Here is a 16,918-nt window from a genome sequence, read left to right as displayed (position 1 = left end):
TTCTACGAACTTTTGAAATTGATCTTCCAAGGTTCTCTTCCAAGACTCCAGTTTGAAGAGAAACCATTGGGAGGAAAAGCACAATCAGCAAGATAGGAAGAAGGGAAAAGAGAAACTAAAAATGTGGAGGGGAAGAGGGCCAGAAACTCCCAGAAAGTAAGCTGCTACACTTCTGAACATTACACAAAATAACAGAAAAGGGAGCTCTGTGAAATTATTAAAGCACTCTGAAGGTACATCACCTTTTTAAAGTTCAGGAAAGCTAATATCTCACAAAAATGAGTAACCGAAGAGTATTCAGTTCACACAAAGACTGTAAGAAAAGACTAGAAGAGTGGTGCTTAAAGTGACAAATCACACTGGAAAGAGCTGCTTTAGGCTGAGTGTTGGGAGGCTGAGGCAGGAGGACTGCTTGAGTCCAGGGGTTTAAGAACGGCCTGGGCAACATGGTGAGACCCCTGTCTCTACAAAAAATTAAAAAAATTAACTGTGTGGTGGCATGTGCCTGTAATTCCAGCTACTTGGGAGGCTAAGGTGGGGGAATCACTTGAACCCAGGAGGTTGATGCTGCAGTGAGCCATGATTGTGCCACTGCACTCCAGCCCGGGTGTCAGAGGGAGACCTAGTCTCAAAAAAAAAAAAAAAAAAAAAAAAGGCAGCTATCCAAGTTTCCAATATTATTGGAATCTAGAGTTACCATATGATCCAGCAATTCTACTCCTGGGTATAAGCCCAAGAGAAACCAAAAACACAAGTCTACACAAAAACTTGTACACAAATGTTCTTAAGAGCACTATTCATATTAGCCAAAAAGTGGCTAACAATCCAAATGCCCACCAACTGATGAACATATATATATAATGTGGTCTAGCCATACAGTGGAATAATGGGTAGTACAGCAAGAAAAGTAAACAACCTACTGAATAAATACAACAACATAGATGAGCCTTGAAAACACGGTAAGTGAAAGAAGTCAGTCACAAAGGACAACATACTGTAGGATTCCATTAATGAAATGTCTATTAATAGGCTGGGGGAAAAATAGGGAGAAATGACTGCGGGGTTGGGGGTTTCTTTTTGGTGTAGTGAAGACTTCTAAAAATTGATGCACACCTCTGTGAATATTCTTAAAAAAACCCACAAACCCCACGGAATCATACTTTCAATGGGTGAAATGTACAATATGTGAATTATATCACAAAAAGGGCAAAAATCCAGTAATTATCCTATATGATACGTGCCACTGGGTGTCCATATGAGATGAATCAAGAATTCCAATACAAAAATACCAATTTGTAAGAAAGAAATGACAGAATTAGAGTATCACCAATGAATGAAAGGACCCAGGCATTGAATATCAGCAGCCACTAACACTACAAAGAGAGACAACCAGACTTTAGACCTTCTGACCAAAGAACATTAACACCATCTATAGCCTTGCCTAAGGGATCTAACAGGAGTCTGATTAAGTTTCTGGATCTAATCATCAATTTTTCCAGGAATGCAAGAAAAAAGGAACACAGTAAACTGCACCATGAGTATACAATCAGCAAAATTCAGACAGTTGGAAACTCTACAGGTCACACACTCTAGGGTCCTTCAACAGCTACAACTTAGTTGACATAAAAAGATGGAGGGGAAACATGCATACTGAGAGACTTCAAAGACTTACCAAATTTTTAATAATGAGCAAGGTCTATGGTATTTGGGAATGCAGAGTTGGGTGCTAAAACTATAAAGAAAGTGATTAGAGTAAGAATACTGGGGCCGGGCGAGGTGGCTAACGCCTGTAATCCCAGCACTTTGGGAGGTCGAGGTGGGGGGAATCACGAGGTCAGGAGTTTGAGACCAGCCAGACCAACATGGTGAAAACCCGTCTCTACTAAAAATACAAAAATTAGCTGGGCATGGTGGTGCATGCCTGTAATCCCAGCTACCCAGGAGGCTAAGGCAGGAGATTCACTTGAACTCAGGAGGCGGAGGTTGCAGCGAGCCGAGATTGCACCACTGCACTCCAGCCTGGGCGACAAGACCAGACTCCTATCTCAAAAAAATAAAAAAGAATACTGGTTACTTTTGGAGGGAGGGGATCGACACTGAGTTGAGCACGTGGAGACATTCCGGGGTAGTTGGCAAAGTTCTATTTCTTGACTTGGTTGGTGATTACAAGGTTGTTTTATAATAATCCACTATACATTTGTTTGGTGGTTTTATATATTTTACAATTAAAAAGAAAACACTCATCTCATATATGTACAGTTACACTACAGCACTATAAACTCCCAAATAGATGGAATACAACTGGATGTGAATAAGATTCAAAGGTAAGATCAGAGAGATAAATTCACAAATGGAAAAGAGAGTTATCTGGGGAATGCTTTATGAAAGAGTAGCAACTTCAGCTGAGTCTTAAAACCTGACAGAGCACAGTCACATGAAAGCAAAGAGAAAGCACCCTAAGGAAAAACAGTGATACACAATGCATAAATGCTAACACTGATGTATAGTTGAAAAAGAGGAATTTGGGACTTATAAAGAGGACCTCATTGGATTTAGTGCAATGAGGCGGGCAAATAAAAATCTGAGGTTTTTTCATTGTTTACTTTATAAATCTTACAAATCACTGGCATAAATTGCTACTGTGCTCTACTTCTGAAATATACTAGAACAGGAAAAAGTGAGAACTACAGTTTGGGATTAAGCAAAGGACTTGGGTTCAAATCCCAGCCACGTAATAGTTTTAATTTCGGACAAGTCACTTGGTAACTGCGTCTGCTTCCTTAGGAGAATACTTTACCTGAGAAAACAAGACAAATATAAAGTGCCTGGCATAGTGAGATCTTAATAAAATTTCAACCAGGTAATTTATAGTTTAAAAGGAATTTAAAAATCATCTAGGCTAATCGTCTCAAATTTACAGGTTAGTACCTACTACATTGAAGAGCACAGATACACAAAACTTGCGCTATGCAGAAAGTTCTACTGGACAGCACTGCAGTATTTCCAAGTAATGCTAATGGATCTTGGGCATAAGATTATTGTTGGATTAATTATTGCTTTATTAAACTAAAAGGCAGAAAGAGAAGTAAGCTATAAACACCTGCTTAGACTTCACAATGAAACATATGCTGATTTGACTTCTGTAAAACATGACCAGAGTATAACAATGAATTGAAATGAACAGGAGAAAAAGCAAAATTTATTTATTTTTATTATTATTATTATTGTTTTTTGAGATAGAGTCTCGTTCTGTTGCCCAGGTTGGAGTGCAGTGATGTGATCTCGGCTCACTGCAACCTCCACCTCTCAGGTTCAAGTGATTCTCCTGCCTCAGCCTCCCCAGTAGCTGGGATTACAGGCACGTGCCACCACACCCAGCTAATTTTTATATTTTTAGTAGAGATGGGGTTTCATCATATTGGCCAGGCTGGTCTTGAACTCCTGACCTCAAGGGATCCGCCCACTTCAGCATCCCAAAGTGCCGGGATTACAGGCATTAGCTACCATGCCAGGCCCTACAATAGCTTTAAATCTTGCATATTATACATGGAGTTCTGATTGCTAGAGCTCAAGAAAGAGGCAATGGAAGTAAGAGAAGATGGAAAAGATCAAATAAATTGGAGATGTGCTATGAGAACAGACCATGACCAACAAAAATACTTAGAAAAGGGTGTGCTCTTTACAACCTAATCTTAAGAGACCTGGAACTGGTATAAGAAAAAAAATGCATCACAAAAGACCAAATTAGGAGTTTGTAAGAGAAGCTGGGTCAATATCTACTTAAGTGTGACTTGGGGGGTGGGTGCTTTCCCTCAGTATATACCTTGGCATCACTTTTGGCTCCAGGGCTTTTACACTTTACTAAATTTATTTTTGAGCTTGATCCAGCAAGGCCATTCTTTATTAATTCCAATTACATGAACCTCATTGCATCTAGTGAACAAAGTGTAGATTTATCTAATTAGGCTACATATAAAAGTCATTTACTGCTGACAGCTATTCAACTCTGAGTAACTGACAAAAGAACTCAATGATAAGAGACCATTTCTGGGTCACCAAAACATGCTGATACTGATTTTATTCTTAAATATTAATACAGCAGCACATTACTTTTGGGGGTTTTAAAACTTTTAATATGTCAATGTGGGAAAATACAATTAAGTCACCTGAACATTTAAAAATATTTTCACACAGTTAATGGATGTTATTAATATTTACTATAAGACTAGATATAGTTTGTCACTAGCATCTTAACTTATTTAAGCTTGTTATTTCATAGGGTTTAATTTGCTGAACGGTGTTCAGTTTACTCTGGTGAAGATTCACGCTTTTTAAAGTTTACCATGACATTTCAGTATATAGAAAAAAATTTCCCACTGGTGTGGAATAATACAAATTTAAAAGCGACTCACATTCAATTTCAGACCACCCCCTTTGCCCTAAAAGAACAGGGGGGAAGAAAGATAAAAGTGAGGCGGTGCAATTGATGCAAGTGCACTGACACAAATATAAAAACCACTTTTGATATTATAATAGCAAAGGTAAAAAAAGACAACAGATATGAAGGGTATAATAATATTTCTCAAAACAGAAATGAACAGATTTCAATTATTACTGACTCTACGTAAAAATGCTGAAGTTTACCTTCATACACAATAAGACATTAAAGAAGGTAATAAAAAATTAATACCTTGGCCTTTTTATTGAAGGAAAACATTTAAGTAAAATAGTGAAAGCTAGAATGCAAATGACAATCTAAAGTTGTGAATTCTGGCTTTAAGCAGGGTATTTGTTGTAAAGCACGCCAACCACGCCATAAAGACAAATTATAAGGAGGGCTCAAAACAAAGAAGTGAAGATGGCCGGGCACGGTGGTTCGTGCCTGTAATCCCAGCACTTTGGGAGGCCGAGGCGGACGGATCACCTGAGGTCAGGAGCTCAAGACCGGCCTGGCCAACATGGTGAAACCCCCTCTCTACTAAAAATACAAAAATTAGCCGGGAGTGGTGGCACACACCTGTAGTCCCAGCTACTCAGGAGGCTGAGGCAGGTGAATAGCTTGAACCAGGGAGGCAGAGGTTGTGGTGAGCTGTGACAGCGCCACTGTACTCCAGCTTGGGTGACAGAGTGAGACTCTGTCTCAAAAAAATAAAAAAAAAATTAATAAATAAAAGAAGTGAAGACTTGTGGCTAGATCATTTATTGGAAGTACAAAAGTATGCCTGATTCGGCAAATGGGACATCTGTAGCCATATAAAGAATAGTCAGAACTATTTTGATTTGTAATTTCTACCATTATTATCCAGGGTTACGTAAGGAATGCCAAATTTATATTAACATTCATTAGTTCACTACTGCCTTTGGAGACAATTTATAATGAATTCCCTTAATCTAAATGTTATCACCAATGGCTTCCTTTCTCTTCCATAACACTATCACTGACCTAAATGTTATGCACAAGAAATAACTAGGAAACTAGAAGCAACAGAGCAAGAATTATGCAGATTTAAAAAAGAAATAGAAGAAGTCTTCAAGAGATCAAAATGTATATTAAAATACTTGTGGTCCAAGATAAACCTGTATGCCAAACTGATAAATGAAATAGGATCCGAAGAGATTAAGGTAGGACTCAATCTAAACCATGAAGCCTTTCCTTCCATTTCAAAAATAATATTCTGAGGATCTTTCCTAGGATTGTTTTCTTAGCAAATAAGTCCTAATGACTATCCACAAATAGCAGAAAGTCTTCTTTGGTCCATTTTTCTACACATACCTTTCAGAATAATATTCTAAAAATAACTATGATAAAAAGTAACAAATAAAGACAGAATTAAAGCAGAGTTAAACATTTCTAAACAATATGCAATTTTCTTTAACACACACAACACAGTATGCGTGTTACTCAACATACACCAAACTCGTATCTTTCATAAATGAAATTAACATTTCAACAAAATGCCATTACTCTATTTGTCAAGGTTTACAGGTTATATACCTTAATATTCAGGTGTAAATTTTACTAATAATACATAAACATACTCCTGACGTACTATATCTGAAGCAAGAGTGGACGTTTGAATCACCCAAAATTTTAGGAGACAACTGATGCTAACGTGATAAACAGAAACGTTGACATCTTAAGAAATTACTAGGTTAGCAAATGAAGAAATGAATTATTTCTACTAAATAGCTCTTTCAAAAGAATGTCATAATTAATTTAATCTCAATTGACAGTCTTTTAAACAATGAGTCCAACATAATTAAGATGTATCACAGAACGACCAGGCTTGCCCAATTCCACTGTACATCACTACTGAAATTATTCAAATGTTAAGTATAGAATTTAAATGAAGAAAACCTATGTAATAACTCTGTAAAGAAATAAATGTTTTTCTTTTTTAGCTTAAAAGGCCTGGCAGAGCTTAACAGTGCCTTGCAGTTTAATTCATCATAAATTTTAAAAACACAAAAACACCGCATCTGAAGCAAAATATTTATCACGTGATATACGTTTACCGTTAATTCAGAACACTAAATCCAACAACGCAATGACCAACTTTTTTTCTGCGTATCGATTTACCCTCAAATTTGCGGACAGTAAAAACAGACAACTAGTACTTACATTTTTGTTGAATTTGGTGAAAGAATGGTGCATATAAAACCTGTGCATATAAACAATCGCAGTGTTTATTGTAAGCTGAGAGCTGGAACGTAATATTTAGGAAATATCTGACAAAAGCAAGATCTCATTCCCAGAACAATTTTGATGGAAAATTCCCAGGTTCTTTTCCAATACCTCCCATTCAAATCCAAACCCCAAACTGGAAATAAAGAAATAAATGCCCGCGGGGGGTGGGGCGGCAGGAAGAGAATAGGCTTGACGCCAAATAAATGGGAATAAGAACTGCTGATCTTTTCACTCTAACAGCGCTGAGGGCCCTGGAACTATTTATCAATGGCTACGACTAACTAAACTCAAAATGAAACAGTTGAAACGCGCGCGCACACACCCATACAAAACCACGCCAAGAACATAAAGAACTCCAGTACGCTCCCAAGGTAGAAGAGAGCCGCCATCAAGCCGGCGACGAGAGCCGGGAAAGGCTGCGGCAAACACTTAGGCCTTTCAGCATCGCTAACCCTCCTACCTCTCAAACCCTTCGGGGTCAGGGACAAGTCCAGGGAGCCGCCCCTTTTCTGCAATAATCCCTAAAATTCCTCTTTCGCCTGAGCCACACTCCCAACCCCCGCCGCCACCACCACGCGCTGCCCCAAACAGATTACACAACGCAGGCTCCTGGCCCGCATTCCTGGGGTCCTATCTCCTCCTCCCTTCCTCTGCTGACCCCTCGCGACTGCCCGAGCCGGAACATTACTTCCCTGACCGCGGCGCCGAGGCCCAGCGAAGGCCGAGGCCGGCGGCGCCATGTTCGCGGGGCACCAGGCCCGGCGACCGGGCAAGGGAAACAGGGCGTGAGCGGCGGCGAACAGAAAAGGATACACATTGAGACGCTGTCCCATCTCCTGGATGAGGTTGGCCGCCTGCTGGCGGCACGAGAGCTCTTTATCCGCCTCCACTCCGCAGCGGCGGCTCGGCGTGTTCTCCAGCTGTTCCCGAGTAAAGAACCAGCGAGAAGAAGCTCCACGGCCCGACGCCATGACACTTCCTCCTCCGCCCGCTCCTTCATTCACCCCCCGCCCCTCCTGGCTCGCGGACTCCCCGCCAAGGCGCGCGACCCCGCCCCACTCCGCTCGCCGTAGACCACGCACCACCCTTTTTCACCACCGCCTCCGCCCTTGCGCATGCGCGGGGCCCGCTCTACCGACTCGCCCTAGTCTTTTGCTTTCTTTTTCTGCCCTCGGCCTCGCTCTTGCGCACGGGACCACAATGCTCCGCGCCGCTTGTCATTGGGAGGCGCCGAAGGTGGAGAGGTCGGCTCGGAAGGAAAAGGTCGGCGCAGCGCATGCCGGGTCTAGGGTTGGCGGGGCGAAGGGGTGGGGAGGGAAGGGGCGGGGAGGGGAGGGGAGGGGAAAGTGGGAGAGGGTGGACTCTGGCCGGTGTGAAGAGAGGCGGTCGGGCGGCTGCGCTGTGGGGGCCTGGGCGTGTACTTCGGAGGCCCGTCGGGCGCTTCCTTTAGACGGGAGGTCTAGCGGCCCTTTAAAAAGAGAAAAATAACCTTCACTGTCGCAGCCTCACGCCACTACTTCCATTTTCCTTTTGGGCGGGTCCGCGCAGTCTCGTAGGCGTGCGACTCCGGCCTCCGCCACCAACAGTCTCCGCCTAGCGCGCGGCTCTGGCGTTGAGCTGGCGGGGAAAGAGTGCACAGGAAGTCACGCTCCATGGCTGTCCGCACCTGAGTGCTTTTTTCACCCTACATTATCTTGTTTAAATCCCAGACCACTTGGTTTATTTTTATTTTTTCAAATTACTTGGCAAACGCTATCCAACTAGCAACGAGAAATTGAATTTCTAAATGAGGTGTTGAATCTAGACGGGGCGTGTTTTCAGGCTGCGCTGTGGTTTCTGCGAGACAAGGTTGGGGAGAATCAGATAGTGCAGGAGGAACTGAGTTAAAATTTTATCTTTAGGATTTGATGTGGGAACATCCCACATACCTGTTGATTAACTCCTGTATTTCTTCCTGTAAGAAAATGCCACTGAGCTTCACTCGGAGTTTGTGTTGTGAATAGGGTTTCTAAGTTTAAAGTCTTAACTATTTGGAGGCCGGGCACGGTGGCTCACGCCTGTAATCTCAGCACTTGGGGAGGTCCAGTGGGCCGATCACTTGAGGTCAGGAGTTCGAGGGCAAGGGCAACATGGCGATACCCCGTCTCTACCAAAAATACAAAAATTAGCCAGGTTTGGTGGCGCGCCTGTAGTCCCAGCTACTCCCGAGGCTGAAGTGGGAGGATGGCTTGAGCCCAGGAGGTGGAGGCTGCGGTGAGCTAGATCTCGCTGCTGCACCCCAGCTTGGGCGATAGTGCAAGACCTTGTCTCGAAAATAAAAAATAAAGTAATATCTATTTGCCAAAGACCATGGAGGCAAGTGATTGTTATGGGGCTCCCACGCTCAGCATACTGCATTGCACAAGAATATTGATTATAGTAGGCAGTTTTTGTAACAGTTGCTATTTCATACTCACTTCCCTTGCTTTACGTTTTATGTTGCTTACAATTTCTGGAATAGATTGATTTAAAGCAACATTTTAAAAGTGCAAACCCTTGGCCAGGTGCAGTGTTTCCCGGCTGTAATCCCAGCACTTTGGGAGGCCAAAGTGTTCTAGACCAGCCTGGGCAACATAATGAGACCCCACCTCTACAAAAGTTTTTTAAAAAATTAGCTGGATGTGGTGGCGTCTGTAGTCCTAGCTCCTTGGGAGTATCGCTTCAACCTGAGAGGTGAGGTTGCACCCCAGCCTGGGTGACAGAGTGAGATCCTGTCACACACACACACAAATAAAAGAAGTGCCCATCCTCAACATCCATTCATGATAAAAACTCAGCAAACTGGGAATAAAGGAGAACTTCCTCAACTTGATAAAGAGCATCTACAAAAATTCTGCAGCTAACAATAGATTGTTTCTGTTGTGAGAAACTACATTCTTTCCACCTAAAGTCTGACACAAGGCAAGCATGTCCCCTCTCACCAGTCTTTTCAACGTGGTACTGGGTGTTCTAGCTAACAAGAAAAGTAAATTAAAAGTATATACATATTGGGAAGGAAGACATAAAACTTCTTCTGTAAAATTTTAGGATATAAGGTTGAATACAAAAGTCAGTTTTCCTATACACCAGCAATGAACAATTGGAATTTATAATTTAAAAATGCCATTTACAATAGTACCGTCTCCCAAAGTAATACAGGTTGAGTATCACGTATCTGAAATGCTTGAGACCAGATGTGTTTTGGATTTCAGGTTTTTTTAGGTTTTGAAATATTTGAATTATAAACTTAGCCATTGAGCATCCTAATCCAAAAATTCTAAATCTGAAATGCGCCAATGAACATTTCCTTTGAATGTCATGTGGGGGCTTGAAGTTTTGGGTTTTGGAGTGTTTCTGATTCTCAGATTTAGGGATACTCAACCTGTACTTAGATATGGATCTAGGCAGGGCGCAGTGGTTCACACCTATACTCCCAGCACTTTGGGAGGCCAAGGTGGGAGATTGCTTGAGGCCAGGAGTTCAATACCAGCCTGGCCAACATGGGGAAACCTTGTCTCTACTAAAAATACAAAAATTAGCTGGGTGCGGTAGTGCATGCCTGTAATCCCAGCTTCTTGGGAGGCTGGGACACGAGAATTGCTTGGACCCAGGAGGCAGAGGTTGCAGTGAGCCGAGATCACTCCACTGCACTCCAGCCTGGGTGATAGAGCAAGATTCTATCTCCAAAAAAAAAAAAAAAGATATGGATCTGAAATATGTACAGGATCTATATGCAGAAAACTATAATAAAACTCTAATGGAAAACAAAAAAAGATTAAATAACAGAAAGCTATTCTGAGTTCATAGATTAGAAGAATCAATTTAGATGTCAATTCTTCCCAGGTTGATCTACAAATTCAGTGCAATCCCAACCAAAATTTCAGCAAGTGATTTTGCACATATTGACAAATTGATTCTAAAACTTCTATGTAAAGGCAAAAAACCCAGAATAACCAACACAATACCAAAGAAGTTGCACTGACATTACCTAACATCAAGCTACAGTAATCAAGACGGTGTGGTATTTGAGAAAGAATAGACACATAGATCAATGGAACAGAATAGAGAGCCCACCCATAAATGGTCAACTGACCTTTGACAAAGGAACAAAGGCAAGTCAATGGAGCAATAATAGTCTTTTTAACAAATGGCGCTAGAACAACCGGAAAGCCACATTAAAAAAAAAAAATCTACATGCAGACCTTATACCTTCCACAAAATTTAACTCAAAGTGGGCTGCAGACCTAAATGTAAAATGCAAAACTGTAAAACTTCTGGAAGATAACATAGGAAAAAATATAGTTGACCTTGTGTTTGGCAATGAGGTTTTAGATGCAACACCAAAAGTACAATCCATGAAAGAAAAAACTGGTAAGTTGGACTTCATTAAAATTAAAAACCTCTGGCCAGGCGCAGTGACTCATGCCTGTAATCCCAGCACTTTGGAAGGCTGAGGCGGGCAGATCACCTGAGGTCAAGATTTGGAGACCAGCCTGGCCAACATGGTGAAACCTTGTCTCTACTAAAAATACAAAAAAAGTTAGCTGGGCATGGTGGCGCATGCCTGTAGTCCCAGCTACTTGGGGTGGCTGAGGTAGGAGAATCGCTTGAACCCAGGAGGTGGAGGTTGCAGTGAGCCAAGATCGTGTCACTGCACTCCAGCCTGGGCGACAGAGGGAGACTCCGTCTCAAAAAAAAAAAAAAAAAAAAAAATTAGCTGGACATGGTGGCAGGCGCCTATAATCCCAGCTACTCAGGAGACTGAGATAGGAGAATTGCTTGAACCCGGGAGGCGGAGGTTGCAGTGAGCCGAGATCGTGCCACTGCACTCCAGCCTGGGCAACAAAGAGTGAAACTCCATCTCAAAACTTAAAATTAAAAAAATTAAAACCTCCGTTCTGTGAAAGACACTGTTAAGAGAATGAAATACAAGGAAGAAATATTTGCAAAACATACGTCTGATAAAGAACTCTTAAGATGGCCGAACTGCTAAATTTACTAAACATTTGAAGGAGAACTAACACCAATACTACACAAACCATTCTGAAATAGAGGAAGAGAGAGTACTTCGAAACTCATTCTACAAGGCCAGTATTACCCTGATTCTAAAACCAAAGACACATTGAAAAAAGAAAACTACAGGCCAATATCTCTGATGAATGTTGATGCAAAAATCCTCAATAAAATATCGGCAAACTGAATTCAACAATACATTAGAGAGAGCATTCATCATGATCAAAGGGGATTTATCCCTAGGATGCAAGGATGGTTGCAAATAAATCAGCTTGATACATCATATCAACAGAATGAAGACTGGAAACCATACCATTTCAATTGATGCCGAAAAAGTATTTGATAGAATTTGACATCCCTTCATGATAAAAGCCGTAAAAAAACGGGATAGAAGGAGCTTACCTCAACATAATAAAAGCCATATATGACAGTCCCACAACTAGTATCATACTGAATAGGAAAAAAACAAAGCTTTTCCTCTAAGATCTGGAACTCAACAAGGATGCCCATTGTCACCACTGTTATTCAACCTAGTACTGGAAGTCCTAGCTAAAGCAGACGAGAGAAAGGTATAAAGGGCATCCAAATTGGAAAGGAAGAAGTCAAATTATCCTTGTTTGTAGATGATATGATCTTATATTTGGAAAAACCTGAAGACTCCAAAGGAAAACTATTAGAACTGATCAACAAATTCAGTAAAGTTGCAGGATACAAAATCAACACACAAAAATCAGTAACATTCCTATATGCCAACAGTGAACAATGTGAAAAAGAAATTGAAAAGTAATCCCATTTACAATATCTACACATAAAATTAGGTACCTAGGAATTAACCAAAGAAGCAAAATATCTCTATAATGAAAACTATAAAACACTGATGAAAGAAATTGAAGATGACACAAAAAATGGAAAACATTCCATGTTCATGAGTTGGAAGAATCAATATTGTTAAAATGTCCGTATTACCCAAAGCAATCTACAAATTCAGTGCAATCCCTTTCAAAACATCAATGACATTCTACACAGAAATAGAAAAAACAATCCTATAATTTATATGGAGTAGCAGAAGACCCAGAATAGCCAAAACTATCCTAAGCAAAAAGAACAATCCTGGAAGAATCACATTACCTGACTTAAAATTATACTACAGAGCTTTCAGCACCAAAACAGCATGGTACTCACATAAAAACAGATACATAGACCAACAGAACAGAATAGAGAACCCAGAAACAAATCCACACACCTACAGTGAACTCATTTGTAACAAATGTGCCAAGAACATACACTAGGGAAAAGACAGTCTCTTCAATAAATGATGCTGGGAAAACTGGATGTCAGTATGCAAAAGAATGAAATTAGGCCTTTATCTCTTGTCCTATAAAAAAATAAAAATGGATTAAAGACTTTAAGACCTTAAACTATGAAACTACTACAAGAAAACATTGGGGAAAATCTCCAGGACATTGGTCTGGCCAAAAATTTCTGAGCAATACCCAACAAGCACAGGCAACCAAAGCGAAAATGGACAAATAGGATCACATCAAGTTAAAAAGTTTCTGCACAGCAAAGGATACAATCAACAAAGGGAAGAGGGCTGGGCAGGGTGGCTCATGCCTGTAATCCCAGCACTTTGGGAGGCCGAGGCGGGCGGATCACGCGGTCAGGAGATCAAGACCGTCCTGGTGAACACGGTGAAACCCCATCTCTACTAAAAATACAAAAGAATTAGCTGGGCGTGGTGGCGGGTGCCTGTAGTCCCAGCCACTCGGGAGGCTGAGGCAGGAGAATAGCATGAACCGGGGGGGCAGAGCTTGCAGTGAGCAGAGATCACGCTACTGCACTGCAGCCTGGGCGACAGAGCAAGACTGTGTCTCAAACAAACAAACAGACAAAGGGAAGAGACGGCCCACAGAATGAGAGAAAATATTTGCAAACTACCCATCTAACGATGTATTAATAACCAGAATCTATAAGGTGCTCAAACAACTCTGTAGGAAATAAAATCTAATAACTTGATTTTAAAATGGGTAAAAGATTTGGATAGACATTTCTCAAAAGAAGACATACAAATGGCAGACAGGCATATGGAAAGGTTCTCAGTATCATGGATCATCAGAGAAATGCAAATCAAAAGTATAGTGAGATCATCTCACCCCAGTTAAAATGGCTTTTATCCAAAAAACAGGCTATGACACATACTGGTGAGGATGTGGAGAAAAGGGAACTCTTTGTACACTGTTGGTGGGAATATAAATTAGTACAACCACTATGAACAACAGTTTAGAGGTTCCTCAAAAAACTAGATCTACCATGTGATCCAGGAATCCCCCTGCTAGGTATATACCCAAAAGAAAGGAAATCAGTATATCAAAGAGATATCTGCACTTGCATATTTGTGGTAGCACTGTTTACAATAGCTGAGATTTGGAATGTAAGTGTCCATCAACAGATGAATGGATAAAGAAACTGGTACATATACACAAGAAGTACTATTCAGCCATAAAAAAGAATGAGATCCTGTTATTTGCAACAACATGGATGGAACCAGAGGTCATTATGTAAAGTGAAATAAGCCAGGCACAGAAAGACAAAGATTGCATATTCTCACTTATTTGTGGGATCTAAGAATCAAAACAATTGAATTCATGGACATAGTAGAAGGATGGTTACCCGAGGCTGAGAAGGGTGGGCGGAGGGACTTGTGGGGATATGGGGATGGTTGATGGGTACAAAAAAAGAAAGTATGAATGAGACCTATTTGATAGCACAACAGGGTGAATATAATCAAGCATATCTTAATTATACATTTTAAAATGACTTTAAAAATGTAATTGGATTGTTTATAACTCAAAGGATAAATGCTTGAGGGGATGGAGATCCCATTCTCCCCGAAGTGTTTATTTCACATCATTGCATGCCTGTATCAAAATATCTCACATACCCCGTAAATTATATATACCTACTGTGTTCCCACAGAACTTTTTAAAAGATTAGATGGCAAATGAAAAAAAAAAAGAATTCTTAAAGCTCAGCAATAAGAAAATAAACAACCCAATTAAAAAATGGGCAAAAGATCTAAACCGATACCTCACAAAGAAGGTATATAGATGGCAAATAGGCATATGAAAAGATGCTGAACAAATATATAATGGTGCCAGAGGCGTTTGAACCAGAGTGACTCCATCATGAGTAGGGGCTGGGTAAAATAAGGCTGATACCTACTGGGCTGCATTCCCAGGAGGTTAGACATTCTAAGTCACAGGATGAGATAGGAGATCAGCACAAGGTACAGGTCATAAAGACCTTGCTGATAAAACAGTCTGTGGTAAAGAAGCCAGCTAAAACCCACCAAAACCAAGATGGCGATAAAAGTGACCTCTGGGCATCCTCACTGCTCATTATTTGCTAATTATAATATATTAGCATGCTAAATGACACTCCCACTGGCACCATGGCAGTTCACAAATGCCATGGCAACGTCATGGTCTAAAAAAGGGGATATGGTCTAAAAAAAGGGGAGACATGAATAATACACCTCCTGTTTAGCATATAATCAAGAAATAACCATACAAATAGGCAACCAGCAGCCCTCTGGGCTGCTCTGCCTGTGGAATAGACATTCTTTATTCCTTTACTTTCTTAGTAAACTTGCTTTCACTTTATAGATTTACCTCAAATTCTTTCTTGAGTGAGATCCAAGAACCTTCTCTTGGGGTCTGGATTGGGACCCCTTTCCAGTGACAAGGGTATTCTTGGCAACAGTTCATAATTGCAAAAGATTGGAAACAGGAATGTCCATGTGTTGAGGACTGGATGATTATGTACATCTATGTAATCTGTAATTTTCATTCATAGGATCCACCCATTAAAAAGAAAGAGGCAGTTTATACGTGGAATGACCACCAAGTTATTAAGTACCCTGCAAGGTATTTAAAAGGTACCAGAAAGGGCAAATTCTACTGTTTGCTTAAAATGAAAAAGGAATATATACATGTAAATACTTGTATAATCATAGACTGTGTTTGCAAGAATACACACACACAAAACAGATAAAATTGGTTCCTTCTGGGGTGTAGACTGGGAGACATAGGTTGAATTTGATCTGTTTGAACTTTTACATATGCTTGTGTTGACTTTTTAAAAATAAACTTTAATGTTTTTAGGTTGTGAGCAGTTTTTTATTTTCAGAAATGGAAACTTCAATTTACCTTTTTTCAATTTTGATTGGGAAAAATCTTCATAATGGTCTCTTTAAGTTAAACAAATTTAAAGCTGGTATTTGTCTTGGTATGTTAATCTAAAGTGATTACCTTGAATACAGATTTAAGCTTTTTGGTCAGGGAATATGAATTAGGCTGAGCCAGTACTGGCTTTCTTTTTAGGGGATATAGGAGAAGGTACTGTACAACGGAAAGAGAAAGATGCTTGGATGGCTATGAGTGGTTGTTTCTCCTTTGGAATCTGGTGGTGTTGGGAGTGTTTTAAAAAGGTTGTTTTTGGAGAAGTGCTTGCAGTAGATAAGGAAGGAGAGAAAACACTGAAAAGGTGATTTTCCTGAGTGACTTTTCTAGATTCTGGGTTGTGAGCAGATTCACTGTGTAAGCAATATTGTTCCAGGGCCAGGCAATCAAATATGGTACTGAGGAGATTATTCTCTTTACCTTTGCTTAGAACCCTGTGCTGCTAATGGCATCTGAGAAGAATGTCTGCTGTCACCAAATTACACCCCTGGTATGGACATTGCCAGATTGGTTTGTGAATATATATAAGGCATTTGTTACGGGCTGAATTGTGTCCCAAAAGTCCTAACCCCAAGTAGCTCAGAATGTGACTATATTTGGATGCAGGTTCTTTTAAGTGGGAATTAAGTTAAAATGAGATCATTAGGGTGGGCCCTAATCCAGTATGACTGGTGTCCTAGAAGAAGAGTCAGTCATGATGTAGACATGTACAGAGGAAAGACCATATGAAGACACAGGGAGAAGACACCCATCTATTAGCCAAGGAGAAGGGCTTACTAGGCGGGTGAGCCAAGAAGAAAGGCTCACGAGGATAGTGAAGACTCAAGTCATTGTAGATAGTCACAAATTTGTGAGGCCTTGCCATTTGGATTACACTCAGAACTGCATGAATTCCTAACATACTCGGTGAAGATTGATTTCCGGTTCCTTTCTTTGCTCATTTTAGGAGGAAGACCTG

The 16,918-nt window shown here is 40.7% G+C and overlaps 1 protein-coding gene and 1 long non-coding RNA gene across 9 annotated transcripts in view, besides 6 other annotated features; one reads left to right on the top strand and one right to left on the bottom strand.

Moving 5' to 3' along the window:
- Positions 1 to 7,692, bottom strand: part of CCNT2 (cyclin T2) — a 40,521-nt gene extending 32,829 nt beyond the window's left edge. For all 8 annotated transcript variants that reach the window (NR_135468.2, NR_037649.2, NM_001320748.2 and 5 more), the window contains exons 1-2: positions 7,502 to 7,692; positions 6,623 to 6,704 (exon numbers count right to left, since the gene is read on the bottom strand). Coding sequence is in view for 4 of the 8 variants with exons in the window: in NM_058241.3 (NP_490595.1) it covers positions 6,623 to 6,704; positions 7,502 to 7,659 (240 nt within the window). In the remaining 4 variants the exon portion in view is untranslated. The remainder of the gene's footprint in view (positions 1 to 6,622; positions 6,705 to 7,501) is intronic.
- Positions 7,093 to 7,182: an enhancer, noted in NCBI's record as "active region_16569". NCBI's record gives its function as "activates an Ori minimal core promoter by ATAC-STARR-seq in GM12878 lymphoblastoid cells {active_cell/tissue: GM12878}" and the evidence as "EXISTENCE:reporter gene assay evidence [ECO:0000049][PMID:35858748]".
- Positions 7,393 to 7,662: an enhancer, noted in NCBI's record as "active region_16568". NCBI's record gives its function as "activates an Ori minimal core promoter by ATAC-STARR-seq in GM12878 lymphoblastoid cells {active_cell/tissue: GM12878}" and the evidence as "EXISTENCE:reporter gene assay evidence [ECO:0000049][PMID:35858748]".
- Positions 7,813 to 7,972: an enhancer, noted in NCBI's record as "active region_16567". NCBI's record gives its function as "activates an Ori minimal core promoter by ATAC-STARR-seq in GM12878 lymphoblastoid cells {active_cell/tissue: GM12878}" and the evidence as "EXISTENCE:reporter gene assay evidence [ECO:0000049][PMID:35858748]".
- Positions 7,908 to 16,918, top strand: part of CCNT2-AS1 (CCNT2 antisense RNA 1) — a 51,974-nt gene continuing 42,963 nt past the window's right edge. Inside the window, exon 1 of the long non-coding RNA NR_036549.1 lies at positions 7,908 to 7,951. This is a non-coding gene — a long non-coding RNA (CCNT2 antisense RNA 1). The remainder of the gene's footprint in view (positions 7,952 to 16,918) is intronic.
- Positions 7,983 to 8,052: a silencer, noted in NCBI's record as "silent region_11979". NCBI's record gives its function as "represses an Ori minimal core promoter by ATAC-STARR-seq in GM12878 lymphoblastoid cells {active_cell/tissue: GM12878}" and the evidence as "EXISTENCE:reporter gene assay evidence [ECO:0000049][PMID:35858748]".
- Positions 8,050 to 8,723: an enhancer, noted in NCBI's record as "H3K27ac-H3K4me1 hESC enhancer chr2:135675361-135676034 (GRCh37/hg19 assembly coordinates)". NCBI's record gives its function as "activates a minimal SCP1, AML or CMV promoter by ChIP-STARR-seq in primed H9 embryonic stem cells {active_cell/tissue: H9 hESC(primed)}" and the evidence as "EXISTENCE:reporter gene assay evidence [ECO:0000049][PMID:30033119]".
- Positions 8,733 to 8,782: an enhancer, noted in NCBI's record as "active region_16566". NCBI's record gives its function as "activates an Ori minimal core promoter by ATAC-STARR-seq in GM12878 lymphoblastoid cells {active_cell/tissue: GM12878}" and the evidence as "EXISTENCE:reporter gene assay evidence [ECO:0000049][PMID:35858748]".

Source organism: Homo sapiens, chromosome 2 (assembly GCF_000001405.40).
Source record: "Homo sapiens chromosome 2, GRCh38.p14 Primary Assembly".
Classification (NCBI taxonomy): domain Eukaryota; kingdom Metazoa; phylum Chordata; class Mammalia; order Primates; family Hominidae; genus Homo; species Homo sapiens.
Note: the sequence above shows the minus strand (reverse complement) of the source record. Positions and strands in the feature narration are given on the sequence as shown.